The sequence below is a fragment of the Homo sapiens genome, chromosome 19 (genome assembly GCF_000001405.40).
Source record: "Homo sapiens chromosome 19, GRCh38.p14 Primary Assembly".
Taxonomy (NCBI): domain Eukaryota; kingdom Metazoa; phylum Chordata; class Mammalia; order Primates; family Hominidae; genus Homo; species Homo sapiens.
Window position 1 is genome coordinate 22064640 of NC_000019.10, and position 26888 is coordinate 22091527.

The window sequence follows — 26888 nt, forward strand, 5'->3', positions numbered from 1 at the left end:
CAGTTCAGTATATAAACTGAACAGTGAAGTCTTTAGTTGTACTTTGGTTTCCGTTTATTACTTCAGAACAATTAGCATAGTTATGTGTAGTGTTTGTAGGCAACCTGCGTTTATATACTTTAAAAACTATTTTCAGCCAGGCATGGTGGCTCACACCTGTAATTCCAGCACTTTGGGAGGCCGAGGTGGGCAGATCACGAGGTCAGGAGTTGGAGACCAGCCTGGCCAACATGGCGAAACCCCGTTTCTACTAAAAATACAAAAATTAGACGGGTGTGGTGGCACGCGCCTATAGTCCCAGCTGTTCCGGAGGCTGAGGCAGGAGAATCGCTTGAACCCAGGAAGCAGAGGTTGCGGTGAGCCCAGACCACGCCATTGCACTCCAGCCTGGGCGAAAGAACGAGACTCCGCCTCAAAAAAAAAAAAAAGTATTTTCTACAATAGTATGAATATAAGGCCACAAAATTTACTTTCAATGAATCAGATGGGCCTTTTAATATTGTTATTTATACTTTTGAAATATAAAGTGTTTTAACTGAATTATGATAACAGACTTTTTTTGTTTTGTTTTGTTTTTTCAATGGAGTTTCACTCTTGTTGCCCAGGCTGGAGTGCAATGGCATGATCTCAGCTCACCACAACCTCTGCTTCCCAGGTTCAAGCGATTCTCCTGCCTCAGCCTTTCAAGTAGCTGGGATTACAAGCACCCACCACCATGCACAGTGAATTTTTGTATTTTTAGTAGAGATGGGATTTCACCATGTTGGTCAGGCTGGTCTCGAACTCCCGACCTCAGGTGATCCACCCACCTCGGCCTTCCAAAGTGCTGGGATTACAGGCATGAACCATGGTGCCCAGCGATTACAGACATTTTTAAAAAATTTTACATTTATTATGACTAGTACATTAAAATTATATATACTTAGATATTTATATCTAATGTTCAAAAAATTTACTACAAAATTGTTACAGTAGATATTAGTCTGAAATGCTTATTTATCTAATAGGGATAACTCTAGGTAAGCATAATTTTAGTGTCTTGTATTTCACTAACTTGGAATGCTGCTATTACAGGACAAACACAGGTGACATGGCCATCCAAAAACCGTAATAGCTCTTTAGTTAACTATGTTGCAAGCTCAAATATATTCTACTATATGAACAGAGAGGGATTCCAATTCTTCATCAAAAAGTGCTGGTGGAAGTTGTCAGATGTATTTCAACATAGATCCCCCATTCAATGGCTAGGAGATGAGAGAGCAACAGAGATGAAAGAGAAACCTTATGAAATTCTGCTGAAAATATGCACACTTTCTTTATAATGCTCATGTTTCTCATGCTGAGAGTAGCTGTGCACTCTGGATGCTTAGAAATTCTTTTCAGGGGAATATTTTCTGGCTATTTCGATAAATCTTATGTCTAATTTGAGTTTTTCTTAAGATGCTTTTAACTTCTTTATTTCTCTCAATAAAATCTTGCTCATTTGAGAGCTGTTTTTCTCTCAAATGCTTTGGGTGTCTGTTTTAGAAGCCTTATGCGTATCCCGTGGTGTCTTTGAATGAGGTGGGCTGTCACAGGGATGACTCTTGGAGTGATCTCTACCGAGACTCATACTGCAAATCCAGCAGTATTTTTTCATGTCACCATTATAAATTGGCACTGAGGCTGAAACACTTCTTCCATTCCCTTTATTGTGAAGGTGCAGTTCTACCCAGGAGGCCTGCAGGCTCTCCTCCTGCAGCTCAGGCTTCACTCTCTGATGTGGCACTGGAGTGCTACTGTGGCAGTTTGGGTTCACATAAGATGTGAGCTGCCAGCTGTGAGCCCTGTGCTGTGGGCTGTGCCTCAGTGGCAGATGGTAGGAGTCAAGAGAGGACACTGGTGACCAGGGGAGGGCAAGCAGGAGTGCTCTAGCCCAGTCTCAGGGAGTAGAGAGCCATTATTTTAAAATGTAAATAGCCAAAATGATAGCATCCTAATCAACCATTTTTGTAGAAGAGTGAGAGCCTACCTTCAGCAGGCACCAGGCTTAAGTGGCAAAACTGCCTTTTGTCATGAAGATGTGATAAGGTTTATTTTGGCATTGAATATAACCATGTAGCATATATGGAAGGCCTTTTCAATTATCAAGTGAATTTAGAATGAATTATGTATAGCATGGTGTTGTAAATTTTTCTACTTATGGACTAATTATGATGAACATCTTTCTGTCTTTGCAGTCTTTGAGCAGATTGACCATGATGCACTTCACATTCTAGGTTAATTGTGTAATAAAACAGTTTTCTTTCTGTTCTATCATTGTGTTTCTCTGGGGCTGTAGAAAGTTTTTCTTTTCGTTATATATTCCAGACACTGTCTAGAATTACCAGACATGATATAAACACATAAGGTGCCAGCCAAGCTTTACTCTAGAGGGGACTTTCCCTCTCAGGCTTCCAGTCACCTCACAATTATGCTACATAGTATGTGCTGTCTCCTAAATATGCAGGAAGAATTGTGTATCTGCCTATTTGGTATCTATAGGCCACTACAGTCACTTCTAGAGAAGCTAGACCAGATTTCTACAAACTTCACAGGGCAGCAATCAACATTTTACCTCTTTCGTTGACTCTTGTATCTTCAGACCTGAAACTGATTCACAGAACATGGAGCTCAGAAACCCAATCAGAGTAATATGTGCGCACTGAATAGACACGTAGACATGAGAATCTCCACTTTCTTGTATCTCCTCTTGCTAAAATGTCCACAAATATGCAGGTAACACCTGCTGCTACTCCACCCATCCAGAGCCTAAATCTGCAGCTCCAAATTCTGAATGTAGGTCTTAAGTTTTGGAAAATAAAAAAAAACGTTTATCTGAGGAATACAAGTCCTTTTAGTTGTCAAACACAGAGAGACATTAAAATGAGAGCTCAGGTTGGGTGCAGTGGCTCACACCTGTAATCCCAGCACTTTGGGAGGCTGAGGCAGGTGGATCACGAGGTCAGGAGTTCAAGACCAGCCTGGCCAACATGGTGAAACCCTGTCTCTGCTAAAAATACAAAAATTAGCTGGGCATGGTGGTGGGCGCCTGTAATCCCAGCTACTTGGGATGCTGAGGCAGAGAATTGCTTGAACCTGGGAGGCGAAGGTTGCAGTGACCCGAGATCGCGCCACTGCACTCCAGCCTGGGTGACAGAGCGAGACTCTATCTCAAAAAAAATAAAAAATAAAAAATAAATGAGAAACACAATTATGTCTCCCCCCCGCTTGAGCTATGTATTCATCTCCTGAAACCATTCACAATTGCCACAAGTAGCATCAATTTAACTAATAATGTGACACTGAACACTATAACTTAAGCTGTAAACCTTACTGATGTATATCCAATCAATAGTCAATGTTATTTCTATAAATAAATAAGAAAGGTAGGTATAGTTGTGGTTATGACTCTAGACACTTTGTTGCCTTGATCTCTCACTCCCAAAATCGTTTGTTACTAACAAACATTTTTGTACCATCCCACTCTCTGTCCCTCTTTTTTTTTTTTTTTTTTTGCCTTTACAAATCCACTTGTAACTGCTGATTATCAAAGTGTAGATTCCAGGCAACTTGAATCTTTGCTCCCAGGTTACAGTCCTCAAAGATGGAACAAATAAACTGTCTACTTATATCTGTGTTGCCTCGGGTTTTTCTTTTTAGGCAGACATATTACTTAGGATGTGCTAGAACAGCCTCTAGGAGAACATCTCTCTTTGATTGTACTCCACTTGCTGTAACACCCAAGAATGCAGAGCCAGTTTGATCTGACCAAGAATCTGCACATAAGAGCTGATCTCTGCCTGAGATTCACAAGACAGGGCCAGGTTTTAGATTAAGAAGGTAATGAAAACCAACAGGAGGAATTTCTGCATTGTGAGATGTCAACATAGACATCTTAAAGCCCCCCTTTGATAGTGTGGCTCTTTGAGCTTTTCAAGTCTTGTCCAGTGACCTGCTGCAGTTACATGAGAGGATCCTGGTGTAAACAGAATCTGATAGCAACATCTTAGGAGTGAGAGATCAAGGCTACAAAGTATCCAGAGCCATGACTGCAACTATACCTACTCCTAAAATGTGATACTGGAGTAGAACATTTTTGTCCTTCCTCTTACCCAAAAGCTAGCAAATCAGGACAGGTGATCCAGGTTCTGGAGCTTTACCAGGGCAGTTCCATTTTCTATTTAGAATCAGCCTAAATCTCTTCTGTCTGGCTTACAATTGGGCCGTCAGCACACGGTCACTGGGAATCCTCTCAGAATCACCTAGGTGTCTTTGAGACATTTGAGGATTTCCAGAGCAGAATTGTCAGGCTGACGAGTGGTTAACTCTGCTTCTGTCTCAGTGTAAGAGAAATGGGTCATCCTTCCCTCATTCAAGAGGTGTCTTTGGTTGGTACCCAGATGACAGTTTCTTCAATTGCTGGTACTTGGGAGGAAAAGAAGTAGTTCTGGAGATTCGAACAGTTAAACTAAATGCTTCCATCTCATATGGCCATTAGAATAATAGATGTAGCAGTCATGGTCCCTACCATCCATGAACTTTTAGTCCAGACTAGCAACTGGATAAACGATGAATTAAGCATCATATGGTTGATATAATAAATAGATTTGTGCAAAGAAACTTGGGGTTTATTTGGGCCGTAAGTAACCCAAATAAAAAATAAACAATATTAGGCCGGGCGTGGTGGCTTACGCCTGTAATCCCAGCACTTTGGGAGGCCGAGGTGGGTGGATCACGAGGTCAGGAGTTCGAGACCAGCCTGGCCAACATGGTGAAACCCCATCTCTACTAAAAAAAATAAAAAATTAGCTGGGCGTGGTGGTGGGCGCCTGTAATCCCAGCTACTTGGGAGGCTGAAGCAGGAGAATTGCCTGAACCCAGGAGGCGGAGGTTGCAGTGAGCCAAGATTGAGTGATTGAGTGATTGCATTCCAGCCTGGACATCAGGGCAAGACTCTGTCTTAAAAACAAAAAAACAATATTGTTGTGACTTCTGATGTCATCACCTGAAGGGATGTTTATGGACAGAAGAATTGTTATTATTTTTATTTCTTTTATTTTGCTAAGAATACTTATTTATCTTCTAATAAAATTATTCTAGATATCCTTAAGATATTTGTTTAAATGGATTATTAGTATATATTAGGAAATTGACAGGGCAGTAGCTAAAAAAGATTAAAGTTACATGAACTCTGGGATTTAAGTTTTTCTTAGGTAAGCTTAGGAAACAGAACTGGAAGTACCCCAGTGGCACAGAGAACAAATTCTACATAGGCTCCACTCCCTGCTCCAGTTCTGTTCAGTTCCTACTTGGGGGCTTTATTTAGTCCTGTCCCCACCCTGGAGTCTTGCCTCAGATAATTGATTTAATAAGATCAGAGTTTTGGTTGGTGAAGCCTGCTGTCTTTCTAGAAGTGGTGCTCACAGTTTTCTGAAATCCAAAAGCAGATAAATGGGAATAATAAAGTATGTATTTTAGGGTCTTTTTAAATTTTTTATTAAAACCAGTGCTTGCAGAGACATTCCATTTAGCAACTTGTTTTCTAATCTTACAAATCAGTAGTTGCTCCACAAGTCACAAAAAATTAAATATAAACACAATAAAAATTCCTCTAAACTACATTAAATTTTTCCTTTATCCCTCTCATCTATCTATTTAGCTTTATTCTATACATTTTATAAAAAATTAATGACAGAGAAACTATAAAAATTAAAATGCTGTGCCCTTTATCTAAATCCTGGGAATTATTAAACACTTAGTACCAATTCCCAAGGGTGTTATGAAGATTATGTCACATAATGTGTTATTCCCAGCACAGTGCTCCGTAACATCCTCTTGAGCACATAGAGCACAATGTTTAATAAACATTCCATCAGTACACTTGTACATGTTATTTAAACGCAGACTTATTCAGACATGGCTGTTTTCTGTTTCCTCTGTATACTCTACAGAGCCAGCAAAGAATATGATACTTTAGGATGGAGAGTGGTTGTCTTCATTTGCCCTAGAAGTATTTGTGTTGTGACAAGAGTGCTGAGTATAAGGGACTCTGTGCTGTGCCTGCTTTCTCTAACTAATGCTGATCATGAGCCCAGGGGAGCAACATCAACATTGACAGGGGACTTGTTTAAAACATTCATTTTGGACCCTTTTCAAACCTGCAGCATCATATTACATAGAGTGGGCCCAAAATTACTAAGTGATTTGTAAGCTCATTAAAGCTTGAGATTAAATGCTTAGCTAAGTGGTTATAAGCCCAGACCTCTAATTAGGATTACATGGCCAATTTGCAGAAAAATCCTTACTTCAGCTTTTCCTACAGGTTTTGTTTATTGTTTTAGGTGGAAACATATATGTTGTTTTGGTTAAGTACCTCGTATAATTCCAATGTGAGGCCAGAATCAACAATGAAGGGTTCAAGGCATTCATGAGAGTTAAGGTAGAAACCTTTGCACTAAAGGGTGGTCACAGGGCATGTTCTGTTTGGGTTTGGGAGAGACAAGGCAGTGTGGCCCATATTACCATTACTGTAGCAGAAATTGCTGGTGTCTGTGGCAGAGGAGGGCATCTGAGGACAGAAAAGAAGAAACTTATATTTTTATTTTCATAGAGAAGCTCATTGTTCCTGAATCTCTACTAGTATAAAGGACAGAAATGGATGGAATGTTTCTGCAGGTCTTGGTCCTGCCAGTGGGTGTGGTGGTAGCAGGTAAATGGGTGGTGCTGACACCTTTAAAGGCATATTCTCGAGATGCAGGTGTAATTTGTGCAGAAAATTTCATCTGAGCAAGAATTCCAGAGGAGAAGGAGGAAAAAATGGCTTTTTTTTTTCAACTAAACATGTCTCATATCAAGAGCTGTGTCCACTCTGCCTTCTGAAATGCCATGCATTTTTACGTGCAAACCTTTACTTCTCTACTTGTTTTTCCTCCCTAATGAGTTTGTTTTAACTACTTTAAAAAATTCTTGTAATAGTCAAGGGTCTCTGAAAAATATGTTTTTTCCCATATACCAGAGCCTTCTACATCATGGCTCCTTCTATGCCACGCAGAATTTTCTTCATGGATTTATAATCTACTGTATTAAAAATGTTCCCTTTGTGTCTGGGAAGGTGTGAATACTCAAGATTCCTATTGGAAGAAGAAAGGGGTTCTTAAAAAAGATGGAAAACTTGTAATGTTGAGGTTCCATCTGTGTTCTTCATTAACTCTATAGAGAGCAGGATTAAGGAAGTGTTTATTTAAGGAGGATGGCATTTATTACCCAGAAAGTCCTGAAAAAAAATGAGGAAATACTTGCTCTCTAGGGTGCTAAAGAAAGACTACTTAAAATCACTATTAAAAATTACAGAACATGAGAGATATCTGTGTCTTGAACTTGGTATAAAACTGATGGTTCTTTATGGTTGAATTCGGACTACGATTTACTTCTGGGAGAAAATGTCACAGTGGTGATGCTGTGTCCTTCTTTTGTGCATCAGCACATCATAAAAATTTGTCCTAGTGCAAGTAACATTAATGATTCACTTGGTTAAGGAGGTCTACAAATTTTTTTACTAGAAAGCTAGTTATTTTTCTTTTCATTATAAATTATTTTTATGCAGCGGATGTGCATAAACCATCACATTTTATCTGGTAGCTGCCCCTCTTTCTTAGGTTTTATTTGCATATATCTGTCTTTGGCAAGTAAAAACTGTCATCTTTTTCTTTTTACAGTCCAGCAATACTAGGAAAAACACAGGCTCTTTTACTTAGTGGATGTTTGACAAAATATTCTTCTTGGGCCAAAAACATTGGCATTACTGGTGAACTTGTTAGAAATATAGAAACTCAAAACAAAACAAAAAAAATTCAGAAACAGACTTTCTATAAGTCAGAACCAGTTCTCTACTCTCTCATTTGACCTTGAGACATTAAAAATTCTGCCCTGGCTGCTTGGTAAATGTGTATGGGGGTGTGTTTTTTAGAGTCAGAGAATACATTAGAGAATATTTCTGTGTTAAAAAAATATTTTCTTGGATAATTTTGGTCACTCCAATAAGGCAGAACCTGTTCTCTCTGCTCTTTAATTACACCTTGAGTGACATTAAAAATTCTGTCCCTGACCACTTGGTAAATATATGTGTGTCTGTGTTTGTGTGTTTTTCAGGGACCACTGACAATTAGGGATGTGACTGTAGAATTCTCTCTGGAGGAGTGGCATTGCCTGGACACTGCACAGCAGAATTTATATAGGGATGTGATGTTAGAGAACTACAGAAACCTGGTCTTCCTGGGTGAGGATAACTTCAGTACTCAATTCCTAATATACTCCAAAGGCTTTATTTTTTATTTATTTTTTTTTTTGTAGAATGTTTTTTGGTAATTTGGTAATTTTTGATAATTATGTTTTGCATAAATGAGTTTCATATCCCTGTTTTCAAGAAAATCATAAGGATTTGTCAGTGTAGAAAAAAAAATTTCTTCAAGAGGTTTCACCTTGAACTGAACTTTCCACATTGCTGAGCTGATCTGTATCCCTCACTCTAGAATAGTGGTAATTCCAGAAATTTAGTGGTGTAAAATATTGTTGCCCACACCTTAAAATCTAATTGCTACCACCAATTTTTTTATTCAGTAGTACTGGGTAGTGAATTAAGAATCTACAAATATACAGTATTTTCTAAATATTTAGAAATTTCTGTTATAAATTAGTATTTTGGCATAAATGTATTAGAATATTATATTACATTCTCTTTATTGAGCACATTACTAAGTTGGTAATTGGAGAATATGAGCAAGATGCGTGTTACTTATTTTTAAAAAACAGGTATTGCTGTCTCTAAGCCAGACCTGATCACCTGTCTGGAGCAAGGAAAAGAGCCCTGTAATATGAAGAGACATGAGATGGTAGCCAAACCCCCAGGTAGGTGAGAGTGAAAGCCAGTACAACAGGTGAAACAGATGAGAGATCCACAGGTCAAGGAGAAAGCAAGTCCTTAAAATGTCATTTCGGAAGCTGTATTCCAAGGGATATAGTTTCTGGAAGCCTGAGTTTGCATTTTTTTTTTCTTTGCTCTCACATAGGGACATTTCTGTCTTATGCTTTTAAATTCTCTAAAGATTCTACTTTCCTTTCAGTCATTTTCCTTCAAGTTTACAGTGAGAGCCAAAGTCCTCATGGCATATAAGAGACTGCATAGTCTGACTGCTTTTTCATTGTTTTTAGGGGCATACAAATATCTGCATAATTTTCAAAAATTCTATGTTAAGCTATTTCTTAAGTTCTCTTTTTGCATTGTGCCTGACATGAATAGAGTAGTGGTTTCTGTTCCATTGAATTTTTTAATTTTTCTGCACATTTCATCCTTTTTCTTTAGTATATTTTTGAAAGATAGTTTGGAATTATAAAATATGATGTCATTCTGCTTTTTTTTTCCTGAAGATTGCTTTGGCTATTCAAAGCTTATTGTAGTTTCATGTAATCTTTAGCCTTGTATTTTCCGTTACTGTGAAAAAAACTTGCCACTGGAATTTTTACAGGGAGCTTATTGAACCTATATTTATTGAATCTATATTCTTTCAACTCATAGACATGAAACATTTTCAAATTTATTTTTGTCTTCTCTATTTCTTTTCCTAGCTATCTTATATCTTTCAGTGTAAAGAGTTTTTATCTCCTTGGTCAAATTTGTTCTCAGAAATTTATTTATTTATTTATTTATTTTTTGAGATGGAGGTTCACTCTTCTTGCCCAGACTGAAGTGCAATGGTGCAGTCTCAGCTCACCGTAAACTCCTCCTCCCGGGTTCAAGCGATTCTCTTGCCTCAGCCTTTCAAGTAGCAGGGATTACAGGCACTCGCCACCATGCCTGGCTAATTTTTGTATTTTTAGTAGACATGGGGTTTCACCATGTTGGCCAGGCTGGTCTCGAACTCCTGACCTCAGATGATCCGCCCTTGTCAGCCCCCCAAAGTGTTGGGTTTACAGGCGTGAGCACCGCGCCCGGCCAGAAATTTATTATTTTAATGCTATTGTAAATAAGATTTTTTTTTGTCTATTTTACCAGATAGTTTGTTTTAAGTGTATGGAACCATAACTTGTATTTTAATTTTATATTTTGCTAATTTACGGAGTTTATTTATTAACTTAGGTTTTAATGCGCTGCTTATGGTTTTCTATAAAAAAGATGTAATCTACAAACAGCAAATTTTTACTTATTTGTCTTCAGTTTCAATGGCTTTTTGAAAACTGTTTTGACTAATTATTCTGCCATATACTTCAGTGCTATGTTAAAATAGAAGCATTGACAAGGTGCACAATATAATTTTGCATTTGGTGTCTGTGAATTTGAAGGAGCAAACACCTCTTCAAGTTTCTATAAACTAGTTTCAGGAGGTAAAGATCTTCTTCCATTGGGCCCCCAGGGTGATGGGATTCCCTCTGGGTTTGTGATGGAGAGGGGTTGTAGCTTGGTCACAAGATTGCTGGGTCTGCACTAGGGTCCACCTTTAGTTGGCTTGTTACAAAGGGCTTGGATAGTTGTAATTCCCATATTATTTTTGGACAGATTGGATATCCTTCAAGACTTTGCTCTGTAGGGCAGACACTAGGGCAGGTTTTTGCAGTAGGGTCTGTATATAATGTACCTTAAATCGGGATGTAAATGAGTATGGCTTTTGCTGAGTACCACAGAGGATTTCCTCGGGTCACACTGTGTTGGTTTCTAGGTAAAGAGAACTGGCCATAAACTGTGGCCCAGGAAGCTGGAACTGAGACTTTGAACTGCTTCAGGCACCACATTAAAAGCCAGGGTCTGCAGGCCTGCCTGCATGGCTGTAAACGGGTGTCTTCCTCCAGGCCTGTGAAAGGACAGAACCTCTCCCAGACTGCGGCTGAAAGGATTTTGAAATAATTACAGAGTAAATTCAGAATTCTCAGTGGGACCAAGTAGCGTTGGCCATTTCCTGTCCTGTAGCCAAGACCAGGGGTCCTGTAGTTTGCCACCAAAATGAGAGCCTGCTTTCTGAAGAGAACACCCCTCAATCTTTGGCTTTAGCAGAATTTCACAACTTCATCCCTGGACTTTAAAGATCTCTTAAAGGCATTTATTTTGGAGATGGGGTCTTGCTACATAACCCAGGCTGGTCTTGAAATCTTGGCCTGAAGCAATTCTCCAACCTTAATATACCATGTAGCTGTCATTACAGGTTTGAGCCATGAGGCCTGGTACTCTCATAAAGGTATTTTTGTCAGGGATGGCCAACAAATTTTCTTGCTGTGGAGGAATAGACAAATAGGGCACCTTTTATTTCTCTATCTTATTAATGTCACCCTTTCTATAAGTTTTTAATTTCTAATTTCTATTTCAAATGTGCCTGTAATTTTAGATTCAGACATTTAGGAGCAATAAGCTAGAATTTACATGTTATGTTTGAAGTAAATTAGGTAATTAGTAGGCATTCCATATTTACTAATATAGTTACTTACAAATTTAAGTTTGCTACAGGCAAAAAGGAATTATATATTTTCACCCATTTTCTCTAGCCTATATCTAAACAATAACATAATTTATTCATTAAGTATTTGTTTTATATAATAGACTCCAACCATATTCTGCTATATATATATTAAATTATATATACAAAATAAATAATAAATACATATATTAATTACATATATATTTTAGCAATGTAAGGCTATTTCTTGCTTCTAAAGTTGGATTACAGCAGTTTCATTTTGTGAAAGAATAGCATACAATTAAAACATAAAAATTATCTCTAGTTTATTTTAAATGCTTATTTATTGTTTCTCATTAAAATCTTCTGTTTATGATTATTCTGCATTATCTCTAAAATTTTACTGCCACACAGTGCCTGTCAATGATTCGAAATACCTGCCTTCCATGAGTACACAGTTACAGTCAAATACTGTAGTTATCTAGACAATTTTTTTTAATGGTACATCAGTGTTGCATACCACATTATATGAGTAAACATTTTACTTATTGTTGTTTTGCAGTTCCATATTAGTGTGTTTTTTTCAATGTAGGTTTCTTTTGTTTTTTGAGACGGAGTCTCGCTCTGTCACCCAGGCTGGAGTGCAGTGGCATGATTTCAGCTCACTGCAACCTCCGCCTCCCGGGTTCACGCCATTCTCCTGCCTCAGCCTCCCGAGTAGCTGGGACTACAGGCGCCCGCCACCATGCCCGGCTAATTTTTGGTATTTTTAGTAGAGTCAGGGTTTCACCGTGTTAGCCAGGATGGTCTCGATCACCTGACCTCATGATCCGCCTGCCTTGGCCTCCCAATATGCTGGGATTATAGGTATGAGCCACCGCACCTGTCCTAAAATTTACCATCTTTAATCTGTTTAAGTGTACATTTCAGGCCTAGGCATGGTGGTGGCTCACATCTATAATACCAGGATTTTGGGAGACCAAGACAGAAGGATTGCTTGAGCCCAAAATGTTGAGACCAGCCTGGGCAGCATATAAAGTCCCCCTCTCTCCACACACAAAAAATGTTTTAATAGCCAGGCATGGGGGTATGCACCTGTGGTCCTAGCTATTTGGGAGATTGAGTGGGGAGGATTACTTGAGCCTGGGAGTTTGAGGCTGCAGTGAGCCATAGTTGTGCCACTGCAATCCAGCTTGGGTGACAGAGTAAGATCCTGTTTCAAAAAAATGGTATACATTTCAGGCATGTTAAGTACATTCACATTGTTATACAAGAGACTTCCAGAAATTTTCCATCTTGTAAAACTAAAACTCAATACCCATTAAATAACAACAACCCATTTTACCCTCTCTCCAGCCCTCAACAAACACCGTTTCTCTTTGTGTTTTTATGAGTGTGATGACTTAAAATATCTCATATTAGTGGAATTATATAGTATTCATTATTTTGTTACTGGCTTATTTCAGGTGACATAATATTCTCAGTTTATCTTCAAATGTGACAAGATTTTATGAGGCTGAATAATATTTCATTGTATTTAGGTATTACATTTTTCAATGTGTTTCCAAATTAAGACATTTGGGTTGCTTCAGCCTTTTGACTTTTGTGAATACTAATACAATAAACATGACTGTTCAAATACGTCTTCCAGGTCCTGTGTTGCATATTATAGATATAGATTCATAAATGAGATTGCTGTATTTTATGGTAATTTTATTTTTGATTATTTGAGGTACATTTATAACATTTTAAAATAATGGCTACGCTCCTGATTTTCACCAACAATCGACATGGGTTTCATTTTCACTGCATCATCAACAGATTTGGTGTTTTTTTAAAAAATTATAGTGGCCATTCTAGGCCAGGCACGGTGGCTCATGCTTGTAATCCTAGCACTTTGGGAGGCCAAGGTGGGCGGATCACAAGGGCAGGAGTTTGAGACCGGACTGGCCAATATGGTGAAACCCCGTCTCTACTAAAAAAAAAAAAATTAGCTGGGCGTGGTGGCGGGCGCCTGTAGTCCCAGCTACTCAGGAGGCTGAAGCAGGAGAATTGCTTGTACCCGGGAAATGAAGGTTGCAGTGAACTGAGATCTCGCCACTGCACTCCAGCCTGGGCAACAGAGGGAGACTCCAACTAAAAAAAAAAAAAAAAAAAAAATTATAGTGGCCATTCCAATGAGTGTGAGGTGATTTTGTTTTTTGTGATTTTTATGCAATTCTCTACAAAATAGTTATTTTGCATTTTCTTTTAAATGCATTTTCTTATTTGTGTATATTTTTGATAAGAATTTTGTTCAATTATTTGACCATTTCTAAATCAACTTATTCAACTGTATTGTTTAGTTTTAAGACTTGTTTATATATTCTGAATATTAACTCCTATCATGTGATTTGCAAATATTTTCACACATTTTTTATGAGGCATTGTCACTCTATTGAATATTTTATTTGAGTGCAAAAATTTTGAAGGATAGTGCAGTTAAATTTTTCTGTTATTTTCTTTGTTGCTGATGCATTTAATGTTGTATCTAAAAAAGTGTTGCTAAGACAAGCGTCATGTTTTTCTTCTATATTTCTAAAAAATTGGTTAATTATTTTTTATGTCTGGGTATTTTATTTAAAATATTTTTCATATATGGTTCAAGGAAATAATCCAGCTTTATCACTGTTGACACCCAGTTTTCTTTCTTTCTTTTTTTTTTTTTTTTTGAGACGGAGTTTTGCTCTTGTTGCCCAGGCTGGAGTGCAATGGTGCAATCTCTGCTCACTGCAGCCTCCACCTCCCGGGTTCAAGTGATTCTCCTGCCTCAGCCTCTCTAGTAGCTGGGATTACAGGCATGTGCCACCACGCCCTGCTAATTTTGTATTTTTAGTAGAGACGGGGTTTCTCCATGTTGGTCAGGCTGGTCTCAAACTCCTGACCTCAGGTGATCTACCTGCCTTGGCCTCCCAAAATGCTGGGATTACAGGCGTGAGCCACCACCGCACCTGGCTGGTATCCAGTTTTCAACATTAATTTTTGAAGAGATTATCTTTTCTCTATTGTGTGCTCATGGCAACTTTGTGGAAGATCATTTGATCTTTTAAAGGGGGGTTCATTTCTTCACTCGTATTCTGTTCTTTCATCTGTTTATGTGTCTTTGTTTCAGTACCACATCGTTTTTATTTTAGCTTCTAGTATGTTTTGAAATTAGAAAGTATAATGCCTCCTTGTTCTTTTTCATGGGTTTCTGGCTATAGTTGTAATCAAGGTTTAAACTTTTACACAAGATTTCTTGTATTGGTTGGTCTGTTCTCATGCTACTAATAAGAACATACCCAAGACTGGGTAATTTATAAAGAAAGAGGTTTAATTGGCACACACTTCCACATGGCTGGGGAGGCTTCACAATCATGGCACAAGGCAAAGGAGGAGCAAGTCATGTCTTACATGGTGGAAGACAAGAGGGCGTTAGCAAAGGAACTCCCCTCTATAAACCCATCAGATCTCCTGGAACTTATTCACTATCACAAGAACAGCACAGGAAAGACCCACTTTCATGATTTAATTACCTCTCCCTGTCTCTCTCATGACACATGGGAATTGTGGGAGCTACAATTCAAGATGAGATTTGGGTGGGGACACAGCCAAACCATATTATTTCTGTTAAAAACTGTGCTATTGAGATTGTTATAATGATTGTATTAAATTTGTTCACAACTGTAGGTTGTATTGACACCTTTGAAAAATTAAATTTTTGGCCCCTGAGCAAGAATATGTTGAAGAATTTTATATATTTAGTTTTATATACTTTTGGACTTGCCAGTTTTGCTTTTAATTCCTAGTTTTATTCAATTGTGGTCAGAAAACGCACAGTGTATAATTTTGGTATACTTAAATGTATTTATTGTTGTTTTTAGACAGGATCTTACTCTGTCACCTAGGCTGGAGTGCAGTGGCATGATTTTGGCTCACTGTCACCTCAACCTCCTGGGCTCAAGTGATCCTTTCACCTCAGCATCCCTAGTAGCTGGGACTATAGACATGCATTACCACGTCTGGCTAATTTTTTTATTATTTGTAGGAACAGGGTCTCACTATGTTGCCCAGCCTGGTCTCAAACTTCTGGCCCCAAGAGAGCCTCTCACTTTGTTCTTCCAAAGTGTTGGGGTTATAGGCATGAGGACTTCATGCTGCCATGTAATTCTCAATGTTGAATGTAAGACCAGTGGGAGGTGTTTGGTTTGTGAGGAAAAATTCCTTGTGCATGGGTTGGCACCATCCTCTTTGTAATCAAAATTTTACATTCTATTAATTCAAAAGAGAGCTGGCTCATTAAAAGAACCTGGCTCCTTCACCTTACACTTGCTGTCTGTTACCATGTGGTATGTCCAGTTACCAGTTACTCTTGGCCTTCCACCATGATTGTAAGCTTTTTGAGACCCTCACCAGAAGCAGATGTTGGCACACACTTCTTGTACAGTCTGCCGAACTGTGAGCCAAATCTTTTTTTTTTTAAATAAATTATCTACTATCAGGCTTCCTGTGTATTCAAAATAATTTATACAGTCTATAATGTTTTCTAAGTTCTCTGTTTTATTATTGCTATTTTATCTGAATTTTCTATTTATTATTGAAAATGAGGTCTTGATGTCTACAACTATGTTGCTATGTATTTCCTGCTTCAATTTGTTGATATTTGCTTTATATATTTTGGAGCCCTGATATTATATATACATATACATATAGCTAGATAAGTATTTTATTAAATACATTAATTATATTATATATCTATATAGTTGGTTTTTTTTTTTTGAGATAGAGTCTTGCTTTGTTGCCCAGGCTGGAGTGCAGTGGCACGATCTCAGCTCACTGCAACCTCCATCTCCCAGGTTCAAACAATTCTTCCACCTCAGCCTCCCGAGTTGCTGGGACTACAAGGCACGTGCCACCATGCTCGGCTAATTTTTGTATTTTTAGTAGAGTCGGGGTTTCACCATGTTAACCAGCATTGTCTCGAACTCCTGACCTCGTCATCCACCTGCCTCGGCCTCCCAAAGTTCTGGGATTAAAGGCATGAGCCACCATGCCCGGTCCTATATAGATATCTATATGTATACATATATATGTTATATATACACGTATCTGTAGGTATACGTATATATATACTCATATACATATGGATAGATACCAGTTAAATTGACCCATTTTACCATTATATAATATCAGTCTTTGTCTCATGCTAGTACTTAGGACTACCATAATTATGTCTACCATAATTATGCCTACCCACCCAATTATAATTACTATTTGCATGGAATATAGATTTTTTTCATTCTGTTACTTTCAGCCTATTTAACTAAATTCTAAAATGAATCTCTTGTATGCAGCATATTGTATGCTGTTTTTCTTAAGCCAATTAGGCATTTAATTTTTTAAATATAATTTATTTAATTTTTTATTTTTGAGATAGATTCTCACTCTGTCAGCCAGGCTGGTTTGCAGTGGTTTAATGATGGCTCACAGCAGCTTCAGCCTCCCAAACTCAGATGATCCTCTCATTTCAGCCTCTCAAGCAGCTGGGTTACAAGTATGTGGCATCACACCCTGCTAGTTTTTTTGTATTTTTTGTAGAGACACAGTTTTGCCGTGTTGCCCACTCTGGTTTTGACCTTCTGAGATCAAGTGATCAGCCCACCTTGGCCTCCCAAAGTCCTGGGATTACATTTTTAAAAATTAAATAGTTTAATTAATTTGTATTTAAAATAATTGCTTGAAGAAATGTTTCTATTACCAGTTTTATTGTTATTGTTTTATGTGCTCTTATAGATATGTTTTTTCTCATTTCCTATTTTACCACCTTAAATTTTGCTTAATTTTATAGTGACATGCCTTACTTTTCTATTTGTTTAGCATACTTTCTATAAATATTATCTTCATAATCATCTTGAAAAATGAAGATTACATAAAACATCTTAAGGTTAAAACAATATATTTTAATCTCATAACTTCAACTGAATACAAATACTATACCTCTACATTTTTGTTATTAATATTACAAATTATATCTAATAACAGATTTATGCAGATTTATATTTTGTTTTTCATATTCTGTAGAAGAAATTTAGGGATTTTATGCACCATCATTATAATAGTAAAGGATTCCATGTGTGTCTGTATATTTACATTTAATAGAGAGGTTTATATTTACATAGTCATATGATGCTGTGCGAATTTTATTTTTCAGCATAATGGACTCGTAGCATTTCTTTGTTTTTATATGCAAAGTCACCATGTTCCTCAGGATGTTCTTGAACTCCTGGTCCCAAGTGATGTGACTGCCTGGGCCTCCTAAAACTGTAAGATTACAGGCATGAGCCACTGTGCCTCGCCACCATGTAGCATTTTTTATAGGACAGTGCTAGTCGTGATGAACACTCTCACCTTTTATTTTGGAAAGTGTTTATTTTTATCTTTTTTTGAAGTAACATAATTTCAAATCAAGTATTATTGGTCAGGTATGATTTTATTACCTCAAAATTTGGGAAGTACTTAGTCTTTTTCATTTTCAAGTAAACTCTGTATTACTTTTTCCCTATAGTCTTCTTCCAGCATTTTGTTCATGAATATATTGATCGACTTGATGCTGTCCAATAAGTATTACATTCTATGTTTTAAATTTGTTTTGCAATTTTATATTTTTGTATTATATATTTTAGAACATGACATCTCATACCAGTTAATTGTGTTTTGATTTTTCAGTTTATATTATAATTGTGTATGACAATATTTAGTTCTGAACAATTTAAGACAGTGTGGAGCAAAATCAAATATGAATCAGCCATACAGCTAGTGCCAATATAATTGTCTCTGTGTTTGTTTGCCTTTATAAATATTATCCCTGTGTTTCTTTATAACTTGTATATTTGTGGTGTAGGTTTGTTGTGAAAGGTTGTTTAATCCTGTGTAGATGAGTAGCCACAAAAATTCTCCTAATTTCAACATCCTATTTATTTGTGAATCTTCCATATCCGGTTTATTCATGAATCTATATTATTTTTCTGTGAAAGAAATACTTTTGGCTTTGAAGATAATTTAAAAACTACCGACAGGGTGTGGTGGCTCACACCTGTAATCCCAGCAGTTTGGGAGGGCGACGTGGGTGGATAACCTTAGGTCAGCAGTTTGAGACCAGCCTGGCCAAAGTGGTGAAACCCCGTCTCTACTGAAAATACAAAAAAATTAGCCAGGCATGGTGGTGGGCGCCTGTAATCCAGCTACTCAGGAAGCCGAGACAGGAGAATTGCTTGAACCCAGGAGGTGGAGATTGCAGTGAGCCAAGATCGCGCCATTGCACTCCAGCTGGGTGACGAGTGAAACTCCATCTCGAAAAACTAAACTCATAACTAAATTTCTCTTCTAGCTACTATTGTTCATTTTTACTTGTCAAAAACACATAATAATTTATAATAAAATATTTTCAAATATTCTGGTTTATTTTTTAGTTATATTGACATTGTTATGCAACATAATTGCTGAAGTGTTTTTATCTTGCAAAGCTAAATCTCAATACACATTATACAACTACCAATTTTTCCAGTATTATGGCACTTTTGAAACACCACTCTGTTTTCTCTTCCTAGTGGTGTAACTTCTTTATATATCTCATACAATCTCTGTCTGTTTGTGGCTGGCTTATGTCACTTTGCAAAATATCATCAAGATTTATCTGTGTAGTTGTTAGAATATTTTCTGCTTTTTGAAAACTGAGTGATGTGGTCCGGTGTGGTAGCTCACGCCTGTAATCCCAGCACTTTGGGAGACCAAGGTGGGTGGATCACCTGAGGTCAGGAGTTCTAGACCAGCCTGGCCAACATGGTGAAACCCCGTCTCAACTAAAAATACAGAAATTAGCTGGGTATGGTGGCAGGTGCCGGTAATCCTAGCTATTCGGGGGGCCAAGGCAGGAGAGTTGCTTGAACCCGGGAAGCAGAGGTTGCAGTGAGCTGAGATCGCGCCATCGCACTCCAGCCTGGGGGACAAGAGCAAGACTTCATCTCAAAAAAAAAAAAAAGAAAACTGAGTGATGTTCCAGTATTTTTACATTTCAAATTATATCTATTGAATAATTTGGTGACAGAAATTAGCATTGTTTTTAACTATTGGCTTTCCGTAACAATGCTACAATTATTATGGGTATGTAAATGACTCTTTATATGACCATATATATGAAAGTTTACGTGTTGCATTCTATTTGATTTGTCTAGTTTTCAGCTTGATACTGATACCAAATTGTTTTAATTCTGTAGCTTTGTAATCTGTTTTGAAATAAGGAATTATAATGCCTCCAACATTGTTTCTTTTTTTTTTTGAAGATTGTTGGGTACTTTGTTGTCTCTTGCAATAGCACTCCTGAGTTTGTTATTGCTATTTTTTCAAAAGTGCAATGAGAAATTTGAAAAACATTGCATTAAATCTGTAGATTACATTAAACAGTATAAACATCTATACAATATTAATTATTTTAACTTTTGAAAAAGAGCATGCTTGAGTGTATCGTTTAATTTCTATATATTTGTGAAATTTTCAGTTTTTTCCATTGTTTCATATTCTTATTCCATTTTGTTCATAGAAAGTAATCTATAAAATTTTAGGGTTTTTTTTTTTTTTTGAGACAATCTCACTCTGTTGCCCAGGCTAGGGTGCAGTGGAGTGATCTCGGCTAACTAACTCCTGCCTCCCGGGTTCAAGTGATTCTCGTGCTTTAGCCTGCTGAGTATCTGAGATTATAGGCGCATGCCACCAGGCCCAGTTAATTTTTTATTTTTGGTAGAGACAGGGTTTCACTATGTTGGCCAGGCTGGTTTCAAACTCCTGACCTCAGGTGATCCACCCGCTTTGGCCTCCCAAACTGCTGGGATTACAGGCATGAGTCACCGTGCCTGGCCAAAGTTTTAGTTTTTTTTTTTGTTGTTGTTGTTTGTTTGTTTTGAGACAGAGTCCTGCTCTGTTGCCAGGCTGGAGTTCAGTGGCGCGATTTCTGCTCACTGCAACCTCCGCCTCCTGGGTCCAAGCGATTCTCCTGCCTCAGCCTCCCAAGTAGCTGGGATCACAGGCATGCACCACCACACCTGGCTAATTTTGTATTTTCAGTAGAGACCACCACACCTGGCTAATTTTGTATTTTCATGTTGGCCAGGCTGGTCTTGAACTCCTGACCTCAGGTGATCCACCTGCCGTGGCCTCCCAAAGTGCTGAGATTACAGGTGTGAGCCACGATGCCTGGCTCAAAATTTTAGTTTTAAAACACTTGTTAAGATTTATTTTTTGACCTAACCGGTGGTCTATCAAAAAGATTGTATGAGCTATTGCAACGGGTGTGTTTCCTGATGTTGAGAAGTTTTCTCTATATCTGTGTTAGAAATACTTGTTTTATACTGCCTTCAAGTCCACTGTTTCCTTATTAATATTCTCTTGTTTTATTATTATCAGAGAAAGTGAGGTATTGAAATATCCTACTATAATTATATTGCTTTCTATGTGTTTATTCAATTATGTCAGTATTTACCTTACATATTTGGAACCCTAATGTGAGATACACACACACATGCACACACACACACACACACAAACACGCAAACATGAGTATATACAAATTTTTCATAGGTTCCCCATCAATCTATTATTGCTTAATGTCCTTTGTCTTTTTGAGTTTTGACTTCATATACATTTTATATAATATGAGTTTTTGACTTAAGATATAGCTTGCGTAATACTATTTTGACCTTTTCTGCTCTCATTTGGTTAATATTTGGATAAAATGCCTACAGCAATCTTGCCACTTTCAGGCTTTTTTAATTATTAGTTCTAAACTGACTGTTATAGAAAGGCAAGTCTGGCCTTGAGTTTTAATGTTTTTTAATGAATCCCTTTATTTGAAACTAGAAAGCTAATTATACCTATATGTAAGTAATTTTCTAAAAGACAAAGACTTCCGTTATTTTATTAATTATTTTATTTGATTCTTGTATCTTTGTCCCTCATTTTCTCCCTTTCTGTCTTCCATTGTGTCTGTTTCATTTTAGTATTGATGTGGTTTCGCTTCTTTCTTATTTTCTTTTGGGTGTCTATACAGATATTTTCTTTGTGGTACCTTAGGGATTACATAAAACCTCTAAAAGATAAAGCAGTATATATTTAATCTGGTGAAAAATGAACTTCAGTTATATACAAAAATTTTTCCTCATTACATCTGCCCTCGACTTTGTTATTGATATTGCTGATTATATGTTGTATATTTATTAACAGATATTCACAATAATTTCTGTTCTTTTATTTTTCTAATTTTAGAGCATAATTATAAATGTTTTCTGTCCCATTATGAGAATGATAAGGAATTCTATTTTTGTGTATGTATGTTTCCCAGGAACATGTATTTTTATATGATTATGTGTTGATTTCTTGCATCGTGTTATTTTCAGTGGAAGAAACTTTTTTCAGCATCTTTGATCTATATAGGCCATATGCAGTGCCAATATACTGTCTCGGGATTTGGTTATTTTAGAAGGTCTTTTTTTTTTATTTATTTGGTAGGATGTTTTTGCTGATGATTATTCTTTTCACCTGACAGCATTTTTTCTTCAGGACTTTGACAATATCACACAGTTTTCTTCTGGCCTGCAAAATTTTCTTTTGAAAAACTCACTGTTTAGTGTGTAACTCTATGCCAATAAATGACACATCACTTTTGTCTTGCAGTTCTTGAGATTGTCTCGTCTGTGACATTTTAAGTTGTTCTTATATATGTGTTTTTTTAAATAAATATCTTGTATGTGTATTTTTGTTTTTTGAACTTCTTTATTTTTATATCATTTTTCTTTTAGAATTGGTTAATTATCTCTTTGTATTATTTACCTCCACAATTACTGTTTTTAAAATGCTTTTAATATTTTTGCCGTTTTTCTTATTTTTCTGATTTTCAGTAGTTGTCTGTGCTCCTTTTACTCATTATTATTCAACTTATTTTAAATTTCTAAAATTTATACATTTTTATTTTATAATGATTGCTTTCTGAAAATTTCATGATTTGTTTGATGGGGCCATGTTGCCCTAATATTTTGTACACATTGTAATCTTTGAGACTGGGACATTTAAAAAAAAAAAGGCTACCTGTCACAATCTTTACAATGTAGCTTTATCCCGGCATAGTCTAAAACCAGTTGTCATGGCTAGACATTCTGGGAGCCTTTCAAACATGTTCTTAGAGTGTGTCTGATCTGAAATGTTTTATTTTCTAGTTTAAAAAGTTTATTTGCACTTCTTCCTAGTTATCAATCACTTGCTACACTTGTTACCTGTCTGTGGTACTGCAGTCTGTCTGCTGCTGTAACATTTACCTTTGGTCTCAGCAGTCTCAAATTGTCATTCTAAAGTATACTATTTTTTTTCAGCATTTTATTTAATGGGAGAATGAAACCAGTGTCTTGAAAGACCCCTAAAAGCCAGACATAGAAATGTATGTGCCAATATTTTTCTTGTCTTTTAAATAGAAACAAGGAGTTGGCAATTTACTTCTAAGGGCACTATGTTATACTGAGGAGAAGGAAGTACTGTGTTGGGTTAATATAACAGATTTTTCTTTTTCTTCTATGTTGCTTTTTACATCGTGTTAACCTGGGGCACTTTACACACTTAACTCATTTATAAATTTTCCAAAAATGTGTTTTGGTCAGTATGTTTTTGTTACATTTTATATGTTTTTGAATAAATTAGAGCCTGTGGTATTTTGCTATGCCATCTTCCTTATGTAGTATATACAGTTTTATAGGTTAGATTTGTAAAAAATATTTACCTGAGTCTAGTAAGTGGAGTAATTTGTTGTTTTTATTTCTTTTAGTTATGTGTTCTCATATTGCTGAAGACCTTTGCCCAGAGCGAGACATAAAATATTTTTTCCAAAAAGTCATACTGAGGAGATATGATAAATGTGAACATGAGAATTTACAATTAAGAAAGGGCTGTAAAAGTGTGGATGAGTGTAAGGTGTGCAAAGGAGGTTATAATGGACTTAACCAATGTCTGATAACTACCCAGAGCAAAATGTATCAATGTGATAAATATGTAAAAGTCTTCTATAAGTTTTCAAATTCAGATAGACATAAGATAAGACATACTGAAAAGAAAACTTGCAAATGTAAAGAATGTGGCAAATCATTTTGCATGCTTTCACAACTAACTCGACATAAGAGAATTCATATTAGAGAGAATTCCCACAAATGTGAAGAATGTGGCAAAGCCTTTAACCAGTCCTCAGCTCTTACTCGACATAAGATGACTCATACTGGAGAGAAACCCTACAAATGTGAAGAGTGTGGAAAAGCTTTTAACCGGTCTTCACACCTTACTCAACATAAGGTAATTCATACTAGAGAGAAACCCTACAAATGTGAAGAGTGTGGCAAAGCCTTTAACCGGTCTTCACACATTACTCAACATAAGAGAATTCATAATAGAGAGAAGCCCTTCAAATATGATGAATGTTGCAAAGCCTTTAAGTGGTCCTCAGCTCTTACTACCCTTACTCAACATAAGAGAATTCATACTGGAGAGAAACCCTACAAATGTGAAGAGTGTGGCAAAGCCTTTAACCAGTCCTCAGCCCTTACTCGACATAAGATGATTCATACTGGAGAGAAACCCTTCCAATGTGAAGAGTGTGGCAAAGCTTTTAACCGGTCTTCACACCTTACTCAACATAAGATAATTCATACTAAAGAGAAACCCTACAAATGTGAAGAGTGTGGAAAAGCCTTTAACCGGTCTTCACACCTTACTAAACATAAGAGAATTCATACTAGAGAGAAGGCCTACAAATGTGATGAATATTGCAAAGCTTTTAACTGGTCCTCAGCTCTTACTACCCTTACTCAGCATAAGATAATTCATACTGGAGAGAAACCCTACAAATGTGAAGAGTGTGGCAAAGCCTTTAACCGGTCTTCATACCTTATTCGACATAAGATAATTCATACTGGAGAGAAACCCTACAAATGTGAAGAGTGTGGCAAAGCCTTTAACCAGTCTTCACACCTTACTCAACATAAAATAATTCATACTGGGGAGAAGCCCTACAAATGTGAAGAATGTGGCAAAGCCTTTAACCGGTCTTCACACCTTTCTCAACATAAGATAATTCATACTGGAGAGAAACCCTACAAATGTGAAGAATGTGGCAAGCCTTTTAATCGTTTCTCATACCTTACCGTACATAAGAGAATTCATGCTGGAGAGAACCCCAACAAATATGAAGAATGTGGCAAAGCTTGTAACCATTCCTCAAACCTTACTAAACATAATTCATAATGGAGAAAAACCCTACAAATGTGAAGAATGTGTCAAAGCTTTTAACTGTTCCTCAATCCTTACTAAACATAAGGGAATTCATAATAGAGAAACCCTACAAATGTGAAGAACGTGGCCTGGCTTTTAACAAATCCTCAACATTTACTAAGCATAAAATAATTCATGCTGGAGAGAAACTCTTGAAATGTGATGAATGTGGCATAGCCTCTTCCCAGTTCTCAACTCTTACTAAACATGAGAACACATGTGGAAGATAAAGCCTACAAATATGAAGAATGTGACAAGGCCTTTAAAAGTTCTCAACCCTTATTACACATAATTTATACTGGACAGAAATCCTAAAGTGTGAAGAATGTCACAAAGCCCTTAATAAGTCCTCAATTCTTAACAGATATAAGATGTTTCATACTGGAGCGAAACTACAATCCTGAATGATGTCACAGTGCTTTTAACAATACCTCAAACTTTTCTAAACATAAAAAAAAATTATACTAGTGCGAAACTCTAGAAATATAAAGAACATGAAAAACTTTTAAATGGTTTTCACACTTGATTGCAGGTAAAATAATTTATACCGGAGAAAACTCCAAGTGTGAAGAATATAACTTTTAACCAGTGTTCACAACTTATTGTACAGGAAAGCATTTATAGTTGAGAAATGGTGTACAAATATAAAGAATGTGGAAAAGTCATTAATATTTGCTCACATATTACACATCAGAGAGTTCATACTTAATAAAAGTATTATAAATACAATTACTGTCAAATGATCTTTCAGAAATATAAACCTTTAAAGTGAAGAAGAGTTCATTCTAAAGACAAACATTACAAATATAAAGGGGTTTGTAGTGCTTTTACTTGTATCACAGATTTTATTGTACACATTTTGTACTAGAGAATAACCCTGAAGCAGTTGCTAAAATTTTGTTCAGCATTAGGAAATTTATGTTGGAGAAGAATTCAGCAAGTGTGATTAATTTGGAAAAACATTTTTTCCATAACTATAGCTTAGAAAATGCCAGAGAGCTCATACTAAAATATACTTTTGCAGATGCAATAAATACAAAGAAATATTTAATTCAAATTGAGTTTATATAATTATCAGAGAATTAACAGTAGAAATAGCTAAGGCACTGACACTTCAGACATTACACTAAATCAGATTGCTGAGTATAGAAAATCCAAAACTACAGTTGGTAAGTAAATTAATTTTATGTAACTTTAAAATGAGTAGACATTTCTTTGAGAAGTCATAATTAAATTCAAGTATACTTTTTTGATAAAATTATAAAGCTTTTTAAAAGTAAATAATGATGTAAGTCAACTCTCAAATTACTTCATGCTGTTTCTTCATTTCTATTGTATTCACCTGTGAAAGCATGTGATCAACTATTGCTGCATCAGAGATATGAGAGATACTTTATTAGGTGGGAATTATATACGACCTCTTCTATAAAATAGTAAGGACACTGAAATATAAGATGCATAAGAGTCTAAGTGAAGAGGTTCTTTGTGGTTAACTTAGTGATGTATGAAGTAGTTGCTCATGTTATGAGAGAAAAACATTTTTAATTTTAGTTAAATGTAAGTTAAAATTAAAATAGTACCATATAATGTTAGTGATTGTACTTTTATTTAATAAAATGCAGTACATTTTAAAATTTTTAGATTATTTGTGGACTTAATTTATAATTAAATATTTTCTTTTACCACGTTAAGACTATTGTACGTTCAGGCCGGGCACAGTAGCTCACGCCTGTAATCCCAACACTTTGGGAGGCTGAGGCGGGCGGATCAATTGAGGCCAGGAGTTTGAAACCAGCCTGGCCAACATGGTGAAACCCTGTCTCTACTGAAAATACAAAAAATTAGCCAGGCATGGTGGTGGGTGCCTGAAATCCCAGCTATTTGGGAGATTGAGGCAAGAGAATCACGTGTACCCAGGAGGCAGAGGTTGCAGTGAGCCAAGATCACGACATTGCACTCCAGCCTAGGCAACAAGAGCAAGACTTCGTCTCAAAAAAAAAAAAAAAAAAAAGACTTGTGCATTCAGTGGAGTATTATTATTCCACTAACTTTAACATA

The 26888-nt window shown here is 36.6% G+C and overlaps 1 protein-coding gene and 1 pseudogene across 5 annotated transcripts in view; one reads left to right on the forward strand and one right to left on the reverse strand.

Moving 5' to 3' along the window:
- The window catches only part of ZNF257 (zinc finger protein 257), a 38997-nt gene extending 12156 nt beyond the window's left edge, over nt 1-26841 (forward strand). For 2 of the 5 annotated variants that reach the window (NM_001316996.2, NM_033468.4), the window contains 3 exons: nt 8170-8296; nt 8830-8925; nt 23338-26841. In NM_001316996.2, the coding sequence (NP_001303925.1) occupies nt 8263-8296; nt 8830-8925; nt 23338-24803 (1596 nt within the window). In that variant the 5' untranslated portion in view covers nt 8170-8262 and the 3' untranslated portion in view covers nt 24804-26841. Of the gene's footprint in view, nt 1-8169; nt 8297-8829; nt 8926-22891; nt 22957-23337 lie in introns of all 5 variants that reach the window. The other 3 variants (NM_001316997.2, XM_047438121.1, NM_001316998.2) reach the window with 3 other exon arrangements.
- On the reverse strand, nt 1189-1759 carry BNIP3P29 (BCL2 interacting protein 3 pseudogene 29; annotated as a pseudogene).
- Nucleotides 26842-26888: the final 47 nt, after the last annotated feature.